Below are 16,152 nucleotides of genomic sequence, written 5' to 3' on the forward strand. Positions count from 1 at the left end.
TGACTTCCCTAAAGAAGAACTATGGATTGTCCAGAACAATCTGGAAAGGGGTTAAATGTACTTGGGCCCTTGGGGCTGCAGCCCAGAGACTTGGTCCGTGTAGTTGGAGAGGGGGCCGAGGCAGGGGCTGACACCTTCTCGCCTCAGAGGCCTGGACACACCCAAGTCAGGGTCCTGAGCCCATTGCAGGCCCCGTGGAGCCACTGTGTCCCCAGAGATTCCTAGGAGCCTCCAGGGCCGAGGGCCGGGACCCAGAGGCGGGGCGCTCAGCTCTGTGGGTGTCAACACAGCCAAACATGTAGACCTACTGGGCACCCTTTACTTCAGACACACTGTGGTGGCGGCTGGGGGTCTGCCCTTCTGTGAGAGTTGGGGGAACTGTCTCCCAGGCCACTCGGGGCTCCTGTGAGAAGCTCAGTGGCGTGTATCCTCAGCCCTCGCTCCACAGATGAAGTTCCTGCCATCTGGACAGATCTGAGCAGCCTCAGGGCCAGCCTCCTTTCTCTGCTGGCCATACCCAGCCCTGACCTAGCCTGGTGTGGGCCTTTCCCTGTGCCCTGTACTCCATCCTCCCAGCTCCAGGCACCTGGCACCCTCACACTGTGGGAGTGGCTTGGGCAGGTCCTCAAGGCCTGTCCCCCCACCCGACCCCACCCCACCGCCTCCCATCTGCCCTGTGGCAGCTTATCGGGTAACCAGAGCCGGCAGCTTCATCCACGTCTGAAACAGGAAGCCCCAGCCTGTGCATGAGTCGCCACTGAGAGCCCGGGCCAGAGGATGGAGAAGCAGCGGGCACTCGTGGCCGCCAAGGATGGGGATGTGGCGACGTTGGAGCGGCTGCTGGAGGCTGGCGCCCTGGGCCCGGGCATCACCGATGCTCTGGGGGCCGGCCTGGTTCACCACGCCACCCGGGCTGGCCACCTGGACTGCGTCAAGTTCTTGGTGCAGCGGGCCCAGCTGCCCGGCAACCAGCGGGCCCACAACGGGGCCACCCCAGCGCATGACGCCGCTGCCACGGGCAGCCTGGCCGAGCTGTGCTGGCTGGTCCGCGAGGGGGGCTGCGGTCTGCAGGTGAGCGGGGATGGGGCAGCCTGGCTCCACGAAGCTGGCTGGGGTGGAACCAGGGAGGTGTGAGCCACGGAGGATCAGAGTACTGGCCACCCCGGGCTCCATGGCCCTGGGCCCTTTGTTTCTCTTGGGGACTCAGTCAGTGGTTACCGTCTCTGCCCCACGCCTCTCAGAGCACAAAGGCTTGAGAGCCAAGAACACCTCCTAAATTTTCTTATCACCTTCCCTGCCAGGAAGCTGGGCGTTGCCAGTGGGGGTCTTGCCAGATATCAGGACCCCTGTCTCTGATCAGGCCTGGTCCACAGGGCCTGCCTCCCAAAGGGTCTAGAAAGGGATCCTTACAGAAGCACTGTGGGAACTTGGGCTTGAGAGCTGGGAGCCTAGCCCTGGGGGACGGGAGTTAGGGCTGCTGATGGTGATCGTCTTGTCCGGATCGTTTCTACTGGGCCCCCCTCCCCTATCCTGCCTGCCCAGTCCCCTTTGTGCAGGCGAGGCCCTTAGAGCTGTCGCTCAGCCCTGTGGAGCTTTCAGGGCTGAGGGTGAGCAGGACTGACCGGCCTTAGAACGCCGCCGCCCAGAGGTCAGAGTTGAGGTGGGGGCCGGTGGGGCCTGCTTAGACTGCGGAGCGGGAAGGTTCCCCAGCACCTGGCTCGCCAGAGCACCTGAGAGTCCCGGCCCAGCATCCTGTTCCTGTCGGCCCTTCCGCCAAACCCAAGGGCAGCAGGCGGGAGCTGTGCCTGCCTGGGGATCCATTCTGACAGGGCCCTTGGAGAAGGCCCAGGTCTGCTGGACCCCTGACACCTGTGGTAGGAACGCTCCCTGGCCCCGGGACCCTGTGGCCAGCGGGAGGGCACTGGGGCAGGGGACCAGCCAGAGGTAGGTGTCCTGGGAAGCCTTTCTGACCATGAGCAGAGTGGGCAGGTGTCTGCGGGCACCCGACTGCGTGGGAAAGGGCCTTCTCCACACTGGGGACGGGCCCAGGAGAGGGCAGGGTTGCCAGAGGTGGCCTCCCAAGACCTGGACCTGAGTCCTGGCCCTCCTCTCACCTCAGTCCCAGCAGGGAGCACCTCCCTCCATGTTGCAGGCAGAAACGGAGGGAAGGAGGAAGGAGCTGGAAGCCCCTTCACTGGGTTGCAGGCAGTGTGAGCCCTCGCCCAGGGCCCACCTCCGGCAGCTGGCTCTGACCTCACGGCCTACCCCCCACTCACTGACCTACCCGGGGCTTGGTAGGACCAAGATGCCTCGGGCGTCTCCCCGCTGCACCTGGCCGCCCGTTTTGGACACCCAGTGCTGGTGGAGTGGCTGCTCCACGAGGGCCACTCGGCCACGCTAGAGACCCGGGAGGGAGCCCGGCCGCTGCACCACGCTGCCGTCAGTGGGGACCTGACCTGCCTCAAGCTCCTGACAGCCGCGCATGGCAGGTAAGGAGCCCAAAGTCCCGCCTGGGGGGGCAGCCTGGGGCGAGCTGGCCAAGGGGAGGCTGCACCATGGAGGGCCAAGAGGACAGGCTGGTGGCCTTTGAGGTGAATCCTGCAGGCGGGCATGCTGTCACTGTGGGGGTGAGCTGGCAGGAGCCAAGGGCAATGAGGCCTCTACCCACAGGCCAGGCAGTGGCAGTGCCATGCCAGGGCCCAAGGGGACACAGGCCAGTGCTTCAGCTTGGAGAGTGGCTGGGGGCGGTGACGATGGCAAGATGCTGCTGTGATGCCCAGGGCAGCTCTGGCCCCACCTGGGGGCATCTCGGGACCTAAAACAGCTGGGGACGTGGGCAGCTGGCAACCTGTGAGGGCACCCTCCCATCACCTGACAGGAGTGGGGACTGTCTAGTGGACTTGGGGACACAGAGGCTGGAGCTGCCTCTGCACTGCCCCACCCCTGTGCTGGGACCCCTAGAGCCGGGCGCTGGCCTCATCGTCTCTGGGGCCCTGTGCCCCCTGCTGGAATTAGTGGATGGGCAACGAGGAAGGACCAGGGTCAGGACAGCCAGTAAGGCAGATGGCCTCCCTCCCCACCTGGAAGCTCCTCCAGTCCTCGCCCTGCTTACAAAGGTCACTGTTGTCATAGGAACAGGCCCTCTGCCTCCTACTGTCTTGGCTGAGGGCGAACCTTCCTGTCCCCCAGGGACCCACCTACCTCTGACCACGGCTCTTCTCTTTTCGAGGCAGCATCTCATTTTCCTGTCGCTGCCCCAGAGGCCTCAGTCCCCCACACCCCCTTAGCTCCAGGACAAGCCCCGACAGCTTGCTTGTGGAATCGGGTTCTCATTCCCGGGTGTTCCCATCCTGGACTGCTTGGCAAAGGCCTTTGGGATTCGCTTCTGTGGCTTTTCTCCAGAGCGTCCACACCACCCTCAGCCTTGGCTGGCCACAGTCTCTCTCAGACCCACACGGCTTTTAAAGAAGTTTCCACCATTGAAAACTGGGAGACTTGGGCCGAGCACAGTGGCTCATGCCTGTAATCCCAGCATCTTGGGAGGCTGGGGCTGGAGGATTGCTTGAGCCCAGGAATTCAAGACTGGCCTGGGCAATGTAGCGAGACCTCCATCTCTACAAAAAAATTTATTTAAAAATTAGCCAGGCATGGTGGTGACTGCCTGTAGTCCCAGCAACTCAGGAGGCTGAGGTGGGAGGATCACTTGAGTCTGGGAGGCGGAGGTTGCAGTAAGCTGGGATTGTGCCACTGCACTCCAGCCTGGGCGATAGAGCAAGACCATGTCTCAAAAAAAAGAAGAAAACCAGGAGGCTTCATGTTAATATGCACACACACACGCACACACGCACACACAAATGGGAAGGTCCTGTACCCCCGGCCTAGTTCCCGCCTGGCATTGACCAGCAGCAGCCGAGAGGTGGCTGCCCCTGGCCAGACCATGCCCCCTCCAGTTGCCCCCGACCCACTGGCTGCATCATGGCCTGCTCCCAGCCACCGCGCTGGACACCACCTGTTCCAACCCTGGATGCAGTCAAGGACACCTGGCAGAGTCTGGTGAAAGCACGGATCCTCCCCTGAGAAGGGCACCAAGGCATACTGGCAGCCCTTTGGGGCACATTCCATGAGGGAGTGGACCCTCAGGCTCTGCAGGTGCAGGGGACGATCCCTGTGTGGTCCAAGGCCAGAAAGCAGCCACCAAGGTCCTGTGTCCCCCTTGCTAGGAGCAGGGGAGAGGCTGCTAGGGGGCTGGTACTGGGGGACTTTGTGAGGGGAGGGGAATTCAAACCCAGGTGCAAGTCCCTGGACAAATCAGCTCCCAGCCTCTGTTTCCCCTCTGCCAGCTGAGGCCTGTGACTGGACTCTCCTCTGGGGTGGACACTGAGTTGCTCAGATTCGTCTATCAGAAGTGGGGAGCAGGTGTGGGGGTGCTCGTGAGATCCCTTCATTACTCCTCAGCTTCCCCTCCTGAGAGGGGAAGGGCCCGGAGGTGGAGGGTCTGGGACAGGGTGGCGTGGTCAGCAGGCTTGGCGGGAAAGCAGGCACGAGCCCGAGAGTTGACCCTCCCCGGTGACTTTGGCCCTGCCTCCACGCCGCCACTGTGACCCCAGCCCAGCCAGTGCAACCCTCAGCTCCACAGCTACCAGGCACCCAGCGCCACCTGCCACAGGGCACAGGGCAGAGGGAAACCCTAAGGGAGTCGGGGGTCAATCCTGGGCCTCCACTGGGACAACTGAGAACCTGGAAGCCAAGACTGTGACCCCTCAGGTCTAAGAAGATGCGTGTTTCAGACCTGGACCCAGGAGTCCCCAGAAAAGGACAGGATAGGAGAGTGGGGTTGCACAGCCACCTGGGGGAGCAACCTGGAGGGGGGAACCCCGCAGCAGCAGCTGGAAAGCATGTGGGAAACTCAGTCATCACGGGCAGGGCCAGGGGGCAGCGGTGAAGTCCAAGCAGCCGAGGGATGGGCTCAGCCATAGGCAGGGACTGGGCCTCCAAACCCTCCCTTCCCTGCAGCAGCGTGAACCGGCGGACACGCAGTGGCGCCTCCCCACTCTACCTGGCCTGCCAGGAGGGCCACCTGCACCTGGCCCAGTTCCTGGTGAAGGACTGTGGCGCTGACGTGCACCTTCGTGCTCTCGATGGCATGAGCGCCCTGCACGCTGCCGCCGCCCGTGGCCACTACTCCCTCGTCGTCTGGCTGGTAAGTGGGTGCCAGAGGTGGGAAGGGGACATCCAGGGAGTGTGGGCCCTCCAGCAAGCAGAGCCTGGAGCCTGGATGGGGGCTCCAGAGGGAACTGGGGACACGCAGGGCTGTTGGGGCATCCGATGAGCTGGTCCATGGCTCCCGAGAATCTGCAGCTCCGGCCAGGCTGGGCCCCAGAAGTTTTGACCACCTGTAGTGCACTCTGCTCTGTGGGGTCGTGCCACGGCTCCCCTGGGGCTCTCCTAGTCCCTCTCTCCCTGGAAGTCCTGGTAGGCCTCCCAGGTGCTCTCACAGTTGGTGGTGGCCCGGGTGCTTTGTCTGCGCCCACACCAGCAGTGCCCAGTTTGGGCCACTCGACCACTTGTTCAGGCCCTGCCGCCTGAGATCCCCAGGCCAGCCCCCACCTTCCTCCACTTCTGGCCTCTTTGGGGAAGGAAGACCTGAGACCCCAGAGCAGAGTGGCTGAGGTTGGGGAGGTGCCATCTTCAAGGGGGGGCTGGGGACTTCCTGCCTCTACAACAGAAAAGCAGAGCAGGTGGGACCTGTAACCCCAGCTACTCGGGAGGCTGAGGCAGGAGAAGTGCTTGAACCTGGGAGGCGGAGGTTGCTGTGAGCCAAGATCACGCCACTGAACTCCAGCCTGGGCAACAAAGTGAGACTCTGTCTCAAAAAAAAAAAAAAAAAAAAGAGTAGAGGAGGCCCTCTTTGAGGAGGGGACTTGGGGGCAGAACTGAGGATGGACAGGAGGCGGCCGGACAAGGAGTGGGGCCCAAAGCAACTTCCTGAGGGGGGCACAGGTCATTCAGAGGCGGGGAGAGCCTGGCCCATGGGGCCCGGGGGCGGGCAGGAAAGGCAGACAGAGGCGCTGGGAGGACCGGGGCTCTTTCCTGAGGGTCCTGGGGAGCCACGGAAGGCTCGGAGCCAGGAGCAGTAGGATCTGACTGGCATATTGGAAGGTCACTGTGGCTGCTGATGGAGAAGTGAGAGCTGCCTGCCCCCAGACCTCCCATGCTTGCCTGGGGCCTCCTGTCTCCTGGCTCCCACCCACTCAGTCCAGCTCCTTCTCCAGCAAGCCAGGCTGGCTCTGCCCCCGGGGCCTTTGCATGCACTGCACCCTGTGCCTGGCACACAGCTCCCCAGCTGCCCCTGGGGCCTTCCCTGCCCAGCTGGTTTATGGGGGGAGCCGCCTGCCCCGACCATCCTCACTCCTGCTTTCCTCCCCACCGGCGCACCAGCACCAGGCACACGGCGTGTCTGACTCCTGGCCTTGGTGGTGGTTTCCACCAGCCGGCGTGTAGGCGCCAGGAGCTCCGTGGGTGCAGGACTTCACCACCTGCTACGTTCCCCGCACCTGGCACGCAGTCAGGCTCGGGAGATGTTTACTGAAGCAATGGGTGGGCAAGTGAAGGAACAGGGGGCCTGGTCCCTTAGGATGGCGCCTGCTGCTCACCATGGCCCTGAGGCCCTTGGGACGGGTCCCGCCTGCTCACCGTGTCCCCGGGCGCTCGGGATGGCGCTGGCCTGCTCCCCGTGGCCCCAAGATCCTCAGGCTGCTGCCTGCCTGCCCACTTTGTCCCCAAGGCCGCCTGAATTGGCCTCTAGCCTCCCTTCGTGGAGACTGCAGCCCCTCCCGGTGCCTCGCCTGCAAGTGCGCCCCTCCCCACCCCGGGGCTGCCTCTCCAGCTCCTCCTGCTGGAGCAGCCTACCCCAAAGGAAGCTCTCTGGACCTGGGTCCCACCCTGGCCATCCTCCCTTTGCCCCTCCAGCAGTTCTGACCCATTCACTCCAGACCTCAGCCTCCCAAACTATGCCTGGCTCCTGGGATGAGCGGCGGCTGCACACAGTGGGCAGAGCAGCAGCAGCTCACCACAGGGGGTCCTGAGGGAGGGAAACAGGGTGTCCACTGAACCCCTAGGACTGTGCTGAGGCATGAGCGGCCTTCCTGGGGAGAAAGCGGGCAGGCCTCGGGGTCTCAGGGCCAGAGAGGCCACTCCAGATGCGAAGGAGCCCCACGGCAGCCCTGTCCCTGTCTCTGTTTCCAGCTCATTGTGCTTTGCCCAACAGACACTTCTGAGTACTGATCAGTCAGGAGCGCCCTGGCTGCGCTAGGAGGCACTCACACCGAAGGCGACGGGCTGCTGGCGGCTCTGCTGTTCTCGTGGCCTCCCCAGTGGGGAAAGCGGGCACACTCAAGGCAGGAAGGAGGGTGAAGGCGGGGAGCCAGCACGCCCATCACCCGTCTGTCAGGAAGGCAGGCTGTCCTAGGAGACCCCCGCGTCCCACTGGCAGGCCCAGGCCCCATGTCTGTCCCAGCTGCACAGGTTTCCGCAAGTCAGTGTAGAGGACTGTCACCTGGCTGGTGCTGTGGACCACAGCAGGGGCCCTTCAGAAGGCAGATGAGGCCCCAGAGGCAGGGCTGGCCTCAAGTCGCTCCAGCGGTGGTGGCCGGCAGGTCAGGGCCCCAAACCTCATTGCCTGGCTCGAATCCAGGCCCTGGAGGGAGGCCACAGGACCCGCTGCTCCAGCAAAGGGGCTCAGTGCAAATGCCCAACGAGGCAGCGCCACCCTCGGGCCAAATGAAGTTCTTCCCTCCCCGCCCCTCCCTCCCTTCCTTCTCTCCTCTCCTTCCTTCATAGCAAACACATGTTTACTCTTCCCTAGGTGTTTTCATTTGCCATGATGTTTGCTTTCAGATTTGGGACCATGGTGTCTGCAAATTAAGCTACTGCGCTCACTTCACCCCCACCTGGACCCCAGAGGTCCTGCTGCCCCAGGGTGACGGGGACGCACGTGCTCAGCCAGCCCTGTCCGGGGTTTCCTGAGGTTGTACCCTGTGCCCCGAGAGGTACAGCCAGAGTCCACTTTCACTTCTGCTCCAAGCCCCTCCCACTCTGTGTGCCTCCTCCCTGGGAGGATGGCTGCTCCCTCTGCCCCTCCTTCCCCAGGTCACATTCACCGACATCGGACTCACGGCACGGGACAATGAGGGGGCCACGGCCCTGCACTTTGCAGCCCGAGGCGGCCACACGCCCATTCTAGACCGACTCCTGCTCATGGGTACCCCCATCCTGAGAGACTCCTGGGGTGGGACCCCCCTCCACGACGCAGCAGAGAACGGGCAGATGGAGGTAAGGTGGGCGTGAGGGAGACAGGGTGAGCAGTCACAAGTGCCAGCCATGCCCAGTGCTGTGTCACTGACCCTCACAGCAACCCTGTAAGAGTGATGACCCTCTTTTACAGATAGGTAAACTGAGGCTCTAAGTGGCACTGTCACTTGCCCAAGGTCAAGATCCCAGGGTCAAGTGGCAAGATCCAAGCTCTATGCTCTCGTCCTGCGTACCATCCTCCCTCCCTTCGCGCAGAAACTCCCTCGTGCCTGGTCAGGGCTTGGTCTTGGTGACAGTCTTCTCAGAACAGCCCTTGGGGCGGACCCTCTGCTGTGAGCAGCCTGCGAGTAGAGCTGTGGCAGGGGTGTGATGTCAGCCCCTTTGCTATTACCCAGATAAATCTTGGGGGCTCACATGGCCCAGCCTCAAGGACACGACATCCAAAAACCCCACGTAGGCAGGGATGGTATTCAAATGTTCAACAACATCAGAACCACACCCAGCCTTTGAGGGTGGGTGCAGCCATCAGCTGCTGGCCCTGCCCGGGTGCCCACCCGATGTCGACCTCATCTAAAGGCAAGGCCCCATCTCAGGAGAATGCACACAGTTTACTTCTCCCCAGCCCCATCCGGTCCTGAGCAGTGTCGGGTCTGTTCACCTCCATGAAGTCTCCTGGTTCCCCACGTTCTTCCAAAGCCTCCTGGGCCCAGGCTGCTCAGTCGGGAGCCAGCAGCGTGCTCCAGGCCTCTGCAAGGCTAGTCTGGGGGGATTTTAAGTGGAAGTGCAACCAACCATCGCATTCTGGGTCTGCAAGTCTAGACAACTGCTCCCAGCTAGAACCCAAGGTCTTCCTGGGGCCCCGGGTCACCCAGTCTCAGCAGTGCCATTGAAACAATCACACACGGTGCAGCCGCAGAGCCATCGGAAGGCACCGCATTCCCTGCAGAGCTGAGCCTTTGGCAGAATGCAGAGGAAACCCAATCCCCCCTCCCGGCAGCGCTGCTGAAAGCATCTTTCTCTGAGGCCCCCCAGCTACCGCCCTTCCTCTCACCATCCCCCGTCCACTCAGCTCTGCACAACCCAGCTCTGTCTCCCCAGTCTCTGTCCCCAACCTAGACAGAGATAGGAAGTGGGGGGAGGGGTGACCCGCAGGCCCTGGGAGGCATGTCCCTGACAGGTGGCTGGTGGCAGGAGGAGCTCTGCTGAGTGGCTCAGGCAGGCCCCAGGAGACTCGGCTCAGAAGGGGTAAGTGGCCCCTGGCCAGGGGTTTTTAAGCTTTTTTAAAGCAGCAAAATCTTCTTTCAAATGAAATATTTGATAGCAGCCCAAGAAGTTTAATAAATCAGCTGACTCCTCTGGCTCCTCAGCTTCCCTCTGTAAAAAGAAAATTACTCAAGCCTCAAAACAGAGACTTCTTCCCTTTTAAATTTCTTACTGTGGAATTCAAAACACACAACAGCGTGTCATCACCGTGTGCAACCTCTAACTCCTAGGCTCAAGCAATCCTCCTGCCTCAGCCTCCTGAGTAGCTGGGACTATAGGCGCACGCCACCACGCCCAGCTAATTTTTTAAAAAAATTTTGTAGAGATGGGAGTCTCACTGTGCTGAGCCCAGGCAGGCCTCAAACTTCTGGGCTCAAGCAATCCTCCCACCTCAGCCTTCCAAAGTGCTGGGATGACAGGTGTGAGCCACTATGCCCAGCCTTTTCCTCCATTCTTGACAACTTATGTTAGTACAGTACATTTGTCACAATTAGTGAACCCAAACTAGCACAGTGTTACTAACTAGAGCCCACACTTCATTCAGATGCCCTTAGCTTTTACCGAATGTCCCTTTTCTATCCCAGGATCCCATTTAGGATGCCATACGTTACCGAGTGTCCCTTTTCTGTCCCAGGATCCCATTTAGGATGCCATACGTTACCGAGTGTCCCTTTTCTGTCCCAGGATCCCATTTAGGATGCCACACGTTACCGAGGGTCCCTTTTCTGTCCCAGGATCCCATTTAGGATGCCACACGTTACCGAGTGCCCCTTTTCTGTCCCAGGATCCCATTTAGGATGCCACACGTTACCGAGTGTCCCTTTTCTGTCCCAGGATCCCATTTAGGATGCCACACGTTACCGAGTGTCCCTTTTCTGTCCCAGGATCCCATTTAAGGTGCCATATGTTACCGAGTGTCCCTTTTCTGTCCCAGGATCCCATTTAGGGTGCCATATGTTACCGAGTGTCCCTTTTCTGTCCCAGGATCCCATTTAGGGTGCCATATGTTACCGAGTGTCCCTTTTCTGTCCCAGGATCCCATTTAGGGTGCCATATGTTACCGAGTGTCCCTTTTCTGTCCCCAGGATCCCATTTAGGGTGCCATATGTTACCGAGTGTCCCTTTTCTGTCCCAGGATCCCATTTAGGGTGCCATATGTTACCGAGTGTCCCTTTTCTGTCCCAGGATATATCCACACCGCCCATTTAGGATGCCATATGTTACCGAGTGTCCCTTTTCTGTCCCAGGATCCCATTTAGGATGCCATATGTTACCGAGTGTCCCTTTTCTGTCCCAGGATCCCATTTAGGGTGCCACACGTTACCGAGTGTCCCTTTACTGTCCCAGGATCCCATTTAGGGTGCCATATGTTACCGAGTGTCCCTTTTCTGTCCCAGGATCCCATTTAGGATGCCATATGATACCGAGTGTCCCTTTCCTGTCCCAGGATCCCATTTAGGATGCCATATGTTACCGAGTTTCCCTTTCCTGTCCCAGGATCCCATTTAGGTTGCCATATGATACCGAGTGTCCCTTTTCTGTCCCAGGATCCCATTTAGGATGCCATATGATATTTAATTATCAAGTCTCCTCAGATGCCTCTTGGCTCTGACAGCTTTTTCCCATTTAAAAATAAAATGTCAAAACAATGAGTTGATCCTCCAGCAGCCTCTAAAGAGGAATGATGGTTACTTTTAATAGGTTTTGTGTTTCAGTATATCACATTAGTTATTCTTTTTTTTTTTTTTTTTTTTTGAGACGGAGTCTCACTCTGTCGCCCAGGCTGGAGTGCAGAGGCTCGATCTCTGCTCACTGCAACCTCTGCCTCAGCCTCCTGAGTAGCTGGGATTACAGGCACGCACCACCACACCTGGCTAATTTTTGTATTTTTAGTAGAGACGGGGTTTCACCATGTTGGCCAGGCTGGTCTTGAATTCCTGACCTCAAATGATCCGCCCACCTCGGCCTCCCAAAGTGCTGGGATTACAGGCATGAGCTACCGTGCCCGGCCTAGTTATCCTTTGAATGGTGTGAATTACACTAATTATTTTTTTAATTGTTAAATTGTGATTAAAAAATACGTAACATAAAATTTACCATCTTAGCCATTTTCGAGCACACACTTCAGCAGCGCTAAGTCTGTTCACGTTGTCGTGCAGCAGAATTTCCACAACTTTTTCATTTTGCAAAACTGAGACGCTATGGCCATCAGACAGCAATTCTCCGTCTCCCTTATCTCCCAGCCCCTGGCCAGCAACATCCTACTTTCTGTTTTTTATGAACTTGATGACTTAGGATGCCTCATATAAGTGGAATTGTACAGTATTTATCCGTTTGTCTCTGGCTTAGTTCACTTAGCATAATGTCCTCAAGGTTCATCCCTGTTGTAACGCATCAGAATTTCCTTTTTATAGCTAAATAATATTCCATTGTATGTATATACCACATTTTCTTTCTCTAGTCATCTGCTAATGGACATTTGGGTTCTTCTGCCTTTTGACTATTGTGAATCATGCTACCATGAACAGGGGTGTGTAAATATCTCTGAGATCCAGCCTTCAAATCTTTTGGATATGTATACCCAGCATTAGAATACCTGGATCTACCCTGATTACTTTAAAATGTTACACCAACCTTTCATTCCTGGAATAAATTCAACATGACATATTATTCCTTTTAAATATAGCTGAATTCAATTTGCTAACATTTTGTTTAGGATTTTTGGCCTTATATTCTTGAGTAAAATTGGCATGGAATGTCCTTTTTTTGTTTTATCCTTGTTAGATTTTGGTATCAAAATATGCTATGAATTAGGGAGTGTTTCCTCTTTTCCTATTTTTTGAGACATTTTGGTTATATTAGACTTATTTTTTTCTTTAAAGGTTTTGTGGAATTCACTCGTGAAATCCTCTGGATCTGGCTGTTTCTTTGAGGGAAGGTTTTTTATTACTAATTCAATTTATTTAATTATAGAACTACTAGGGCTTTCTATTTTTTATGTGTTGGTTTCAGCAAATTATATTTTTCTAGGATTTATTTCCTAGAAATGTTCTAGGAATCAAATTTGTCTAAGTTGTTAAGTGTATTAGCATGAAGTTATTTTTAATATCCTCATGATCCTTTATTGTCTGTATGTAGTAATTTCCCCACTTTTAATTCCTGATATTGGGTATTTTTGTGTTTCTTTTTTTGTCTCAATCAGCCTCACTAGATGTTAGTCAGTAGTTTTTCCAACGATCAGGTTTTAACTTATTCAAGGTCCTCCAAAAAGCATTAATTGTCTCCAATGTATGTTTGTTTTTTATTTCATTAATTTCTGCATTTATCTTTGTTATTACTTTCTTTCCTAAATTACTGAGATGGGTGCCTACCTCACTTACTTTTCAACCTTTTTTCTTTTCTAATATATTTATTGAAGGCTATAAATTTTCCTCTAAGTACTGCTTTAGCTGTATCCCACTGTTTGATAATTGTTCAGTTAAAAAATATTTTCTAATTCCCATTTTGATTCTTATTTGCTCTAGGGATTCCTTGGAATTATGTTTCTTAATTTCCAAATACGAAGGTGTTCCTTCTAGTTATCTATTTGTTATTAATTTCTGTCCAAATTGCATTGTGGTCAGAAAATATGCTCTGGTCATTTCAATCCTTTGATTTTTTGATAAGTTACTTTATTGCCCCGTGTATGGTCAATTTTTATCAACGTTGCATATGTTCTTGGAAAGACTGTAGAGTTTGCAGACTGTTCGCTACATGTCCATTATGTCATTGTGTTCTTCAGATCTCCATAGGTACACATTTTAGTTTACTGGATTTCAAGTGGATCGAGAGAATTGTGTGAACATTCCTGGCTATTATTCTGGATTTGTCTGTGTTTCCCTACAATCCTGTCACCGTTTGTTTTATATATTTTGAACCCCATATCTAGTCTGTTTTATCTGATATATGTATACACATGACTTTTCTTTCTATACTTATTTGATGGTGAAGCTTATTCATACTTTGCTTTCGGCCTTCTGAATCCTTATGTTTGCCAGTACCTCTGGTTAACCATATGCAGTCATGTTTAATTTTTTTCATCAGCCTGACAGTCTTTACCTATTGGTGCATTTAGACCATCTATAGTCAGTATAATTACTAATGTTTAGGGGTTTATTTTTACTCTGTTATTTTGAGGAGATGTGATCTGGCTGCCTGGATTTTTCTTTATTTAAAAGTAGTAAGCACAGTTGTTTTTTGTCTGTTAGTTCTCAGAGCTTTATTTCTATTTCTTTGTGGGCTGGGTCTTCTGGTTCTTGTTCATGGTATTTTATTTCCTTGTATTTTTATTTTTGTTGACATATGCTGACATGAAAAATGAAGCGTAGGCATAACTGGAGGCCTTAGCAATATCTTATTTGCCTTTGCTGGGCACATGTGGGCCTAGGATCATCTTAATCCGCATTCCAGGCAGGAAGTTCCCAGGACCACCTCCGTGACAGGAACCAGGGGCCTGGCTGGCGTCTGGCTTCCATTTTCTCTGAGGGTGGAGCCCTTGGCCACATCGGGAGGTGGTCAACCAGAGCCCCCACCCCTGATGGAACCCGCACGGTTCCTGGCCTCCCTGGTCCCCTGAGGCTGCGGGAGGACGGCACATCATATAACTGTTCTTCCGTCGTCAGCCCAGGCTCAGGGCAAGAGCAGTTCTGAGTGCTGGGCTCCCCGACACCCCTCACCCCCCAGGCTTTCCTTTTCTCCTGAGTGTGGCCGTGTCACTCCTGACTTCTGCGTTACCTTACTGAGGCTGTCAGCAGGTGACTTTTACAGTGAATCCGTGTTTCACGTCCTTGGGCAGTGGGTTGGTCTGACCCACCTGGTTCTCTCCTCCCTGGAGTGGATCCATCTGCTCACCTGCTTTTCCACTGCTGTGGCCTCTGCACAGACTTCCAGACAGAGTTCTGTCTGTCACTACCCACCCTCTGCTGACAATCCCAGCGGTGATGGGGTCCGTCACTCTGGGGGAGAGGTTCCCTTCCTCCTCCCCATGGCTCTGTTCCTATCAGGGCTTTGCCCTCTCTCCCCAGCACCATTTGGGGCCAGGTCTGACACTTGTCCCCCTTCCTCTGCCGTGACACCCCTCATACTCCTGCAGACCCCGTAACTCCCCTCCTCCGCATCCTGGCCTCCTCTTCCCAGCAACAGCTCCTTGGGGACGCTCCGCCTCCACCCACCCACACACCCACCGCGCCCTGGCAAACCTTTGCCATTCCCCCAGCCCAGAGCCTCCGGGAGCAGTGCCTCTCTCCAGCGACTGGCTTCAGCGACCTGCCCCAGCCTCCCCAGCCCCGGTGTCCTTGCACATCTGACAAATGCTTCCTGCTTCCTCAGCCACACCAGCCACTGGCTCAGCCCTTCTGGGCCTCCAGGAGCCTTCAGGCGTTATCTGGTTCAAGCCTCCCAGCAGCCCCCGGGGAAGGGGTGTGCGCACGCCTGATTTTGTGTGGCCCCACAAGCTCAAAATAGTTTTTCCCTTTTTAAATGGGGAAAAGGAAAAAGAATCACATCTCATGACACATGAAACTCATCTGAAGTTAAAATGTCAGTGCCCACAAATAAAGCCTTGTGGGCACCCGGCCACGCTATGGGTGGCAGCTTTCGCACCACGACCAGGGTTGCATATTTGTGCCAGAGCCGGCGGCCCCCGGGCTGAGCTGCTTACTCTCTGGAGGGCAGCACGGCACCCAGGAAGGCAGGCAGTGCGTGAGCAGACACCCCAGTCTGCAGCTTAGAGGCGCAGGGTCATCATCCTCAGGCAGTGACAAGCCCTGTGGCTCTGCGGTTCTGGCGCTGGTCTTGCGGCGGTTCTGGCTCCGGTCTTGCGGTGGTTCTGGCTCTGGTCTTGTGGCGGTTCTGGAGCTGATCTTGCGGCGGTTCTGGCACTGGTCTTTCGGACCTGCAGGGATTCCAGGGAGCAGGGCTCTATCTTTTTGTCCACCTTCCCCTGGTGGCGCTGTGGCCTCCTCAGGCTGTGGCCACCTTGGAGGCCATGGAACTCAGGGCAGAGGAGGGAGGGGAAGGAAGCCCTCCAGAGGATTCCCCCAGGACAAGGCACTCGCCCTCGAGGTCTCAAGCTGACCTGCTAGCTGCGCAGGTGAGTGTCGGTAGGGGCCGGGGCAAGGGAGGCTGGTGGTGCCGACCATAGATCAATGCAGGTGTCCTTACTTTACAGACAGGCCCAGTTAGCTGGCCAAGTTCTCTGACCAGCAAGTCACAGAGCCAGATGAGCTCAAGGCCACTGGACTTCGCTGCCAGGCCCCCTGCCACACACGACAGCGTCACGTTGTATTTACTCACGGCATGGCACACCCGCCGCTCCACATGCATGCTGAACCTGTATTTATCTGTAGAGAATGAACACTAATTGCACCTTTTATAGGTGAGGCACTGCAGTCCAGAGAGGAGCTGAAAATTCCTTTGGGGTCTCACAACTTGTTTGAGGTGGAGTTTCACTGTTGTTGCCCAGGCTGGAGTGCAGTGGTGCCACCTTGGCTCACTGCAACCTCCGCCTCTTGGCTTAAAGCAATTCTCCTGCCTCAGCCT

At 56.1% G+C, this 16,152-nt stretch overlaps 1 protein-coding gene across 1 annotated transcript in view, besides 5 other annotated features; it reads left to right on the forward strand.

Annotated features, from left to right (window-relative positions):
- Window positions 1–697: 697 nt before the first annotated feature.
- Window positions 698–16,152, forward strand: part of ESPNL (espin like) — a 32,948-nt gene continuing 17,493 nt past the window's right edge. Inside the window, exons 1-4 of the mRNA NM_194312.4 lie at window positions 698–1,071; window positions 2,299–2,489; window positions 5,014–5,200; window positions 8,149–8,331. Of these exons, the coding sequence (NP_919288.2) occupies window positions 778–1,071; window positions 2,299–2,489; window positions 5,014–5,200; window positions 8,149–8,331 (855 nt within the window). The 5' untranslated portion in view covers window positions 698–777. The remainder of the gene's footprint in view (window positions 1,072–2,298; window positions 2,490–5,013; window positions 5,201–8,148; window positions 8,332–16,152) is intronic.
- Window positions 2,906–3,075: an enhancer, noted in NCBI's record as "experimental_57276 CRE fragment used in MPRA reporter constructs". NCBI's record gives its function as "activates a minimal promoter by MPRAs in K562 erythroleukemia cells, with activity observed for the introgressed 2:239011274 variant allele {active_cell/tissue: K562}" and the evidence as "EXISTENCE:reporter gene assay evidence [ECO:0000049][PMID:34662402]".
- Window positions 6,097–7,007: an enhancer, noted in NCBI's record as "H3K27ac-H3K4me1 hESC enhancer chr2:239014380-239015290 (GRCh37/hg19 assembly coordinates)". NCBI's record gives its function as "activates a minimal SCP1, AML or CMV promoter by ChIP-STARR-seq in primed H9 embryonic stem cells {active_cell/tissue: H9 hESC(primed)}" and the evidence as "EXISTENCE:reporter gene assay evidence [ECO:0000049][PMID:30033119]".
- Window positions 7,008–7,917: an enhancer, noted in NCBI's record as "H3K27ac-H3K4me1 hESC enhancer chr2:239015291-239016200 (GRCh37/hg19 assembly coordinates)". NCBI's record gives its function as "activates a minimal SCP1, AML or CMV promoter by ChIP-STARR-seq in naive H9 embryonic stem cells {active_cell/tissue: H9 hESC(naive)}" and the evidence as "EXISTENCE:reporter gene assay evidence [ECO:0000049][PMID:30033119]".
- Window positions 7,377–7,546: an enhancer, noted in NCBI's record as "experimental_57281 CRE fragment used in MPRA reporter constructs". NCBI's record gives its function as "activates a minimal promoter by MPRAs in K562 erythroleukemia cells, with activity observed for the introgressed 2:239015745 variant allele {active_cell/tissue: K562}" and the evidence as "EXISTENCE:reporter gene assay evidence [ECO:0000049][PMID:34662402]".
- Window positions 7,918–8,828: an enhancer, noted in NCBI's record as "H3K27ac-H3K4me1 hESC enhancer chr2:239016201-239017111 (GRCh37/hg19 assembly coordinates)". NCBI's record gives its function as "activates a minimal SCP1, AML or CMV promoter by ChIP-STARR-seq in naive H9 embryonic stem cells {active_cell/tissue: H9 hESC(naive)}" and the evidence as "EXISTENCE:reporter gene assay evidence [ECO:0000049][PMID:30033119]".

Source organism: Homo sapiens, chromosome 2 (genome assembly GCF_000001405.40).
Source record: "Homo sapiens chromosome 2, GRCh38.p14 Primary Assembly".
Taxonomy (NCBI): domain Eukaryota; kingdom Metazoa; phylum Chordata; class Mammalia; order Primates; family Hominidae; genus Homo; species Homo sapiens.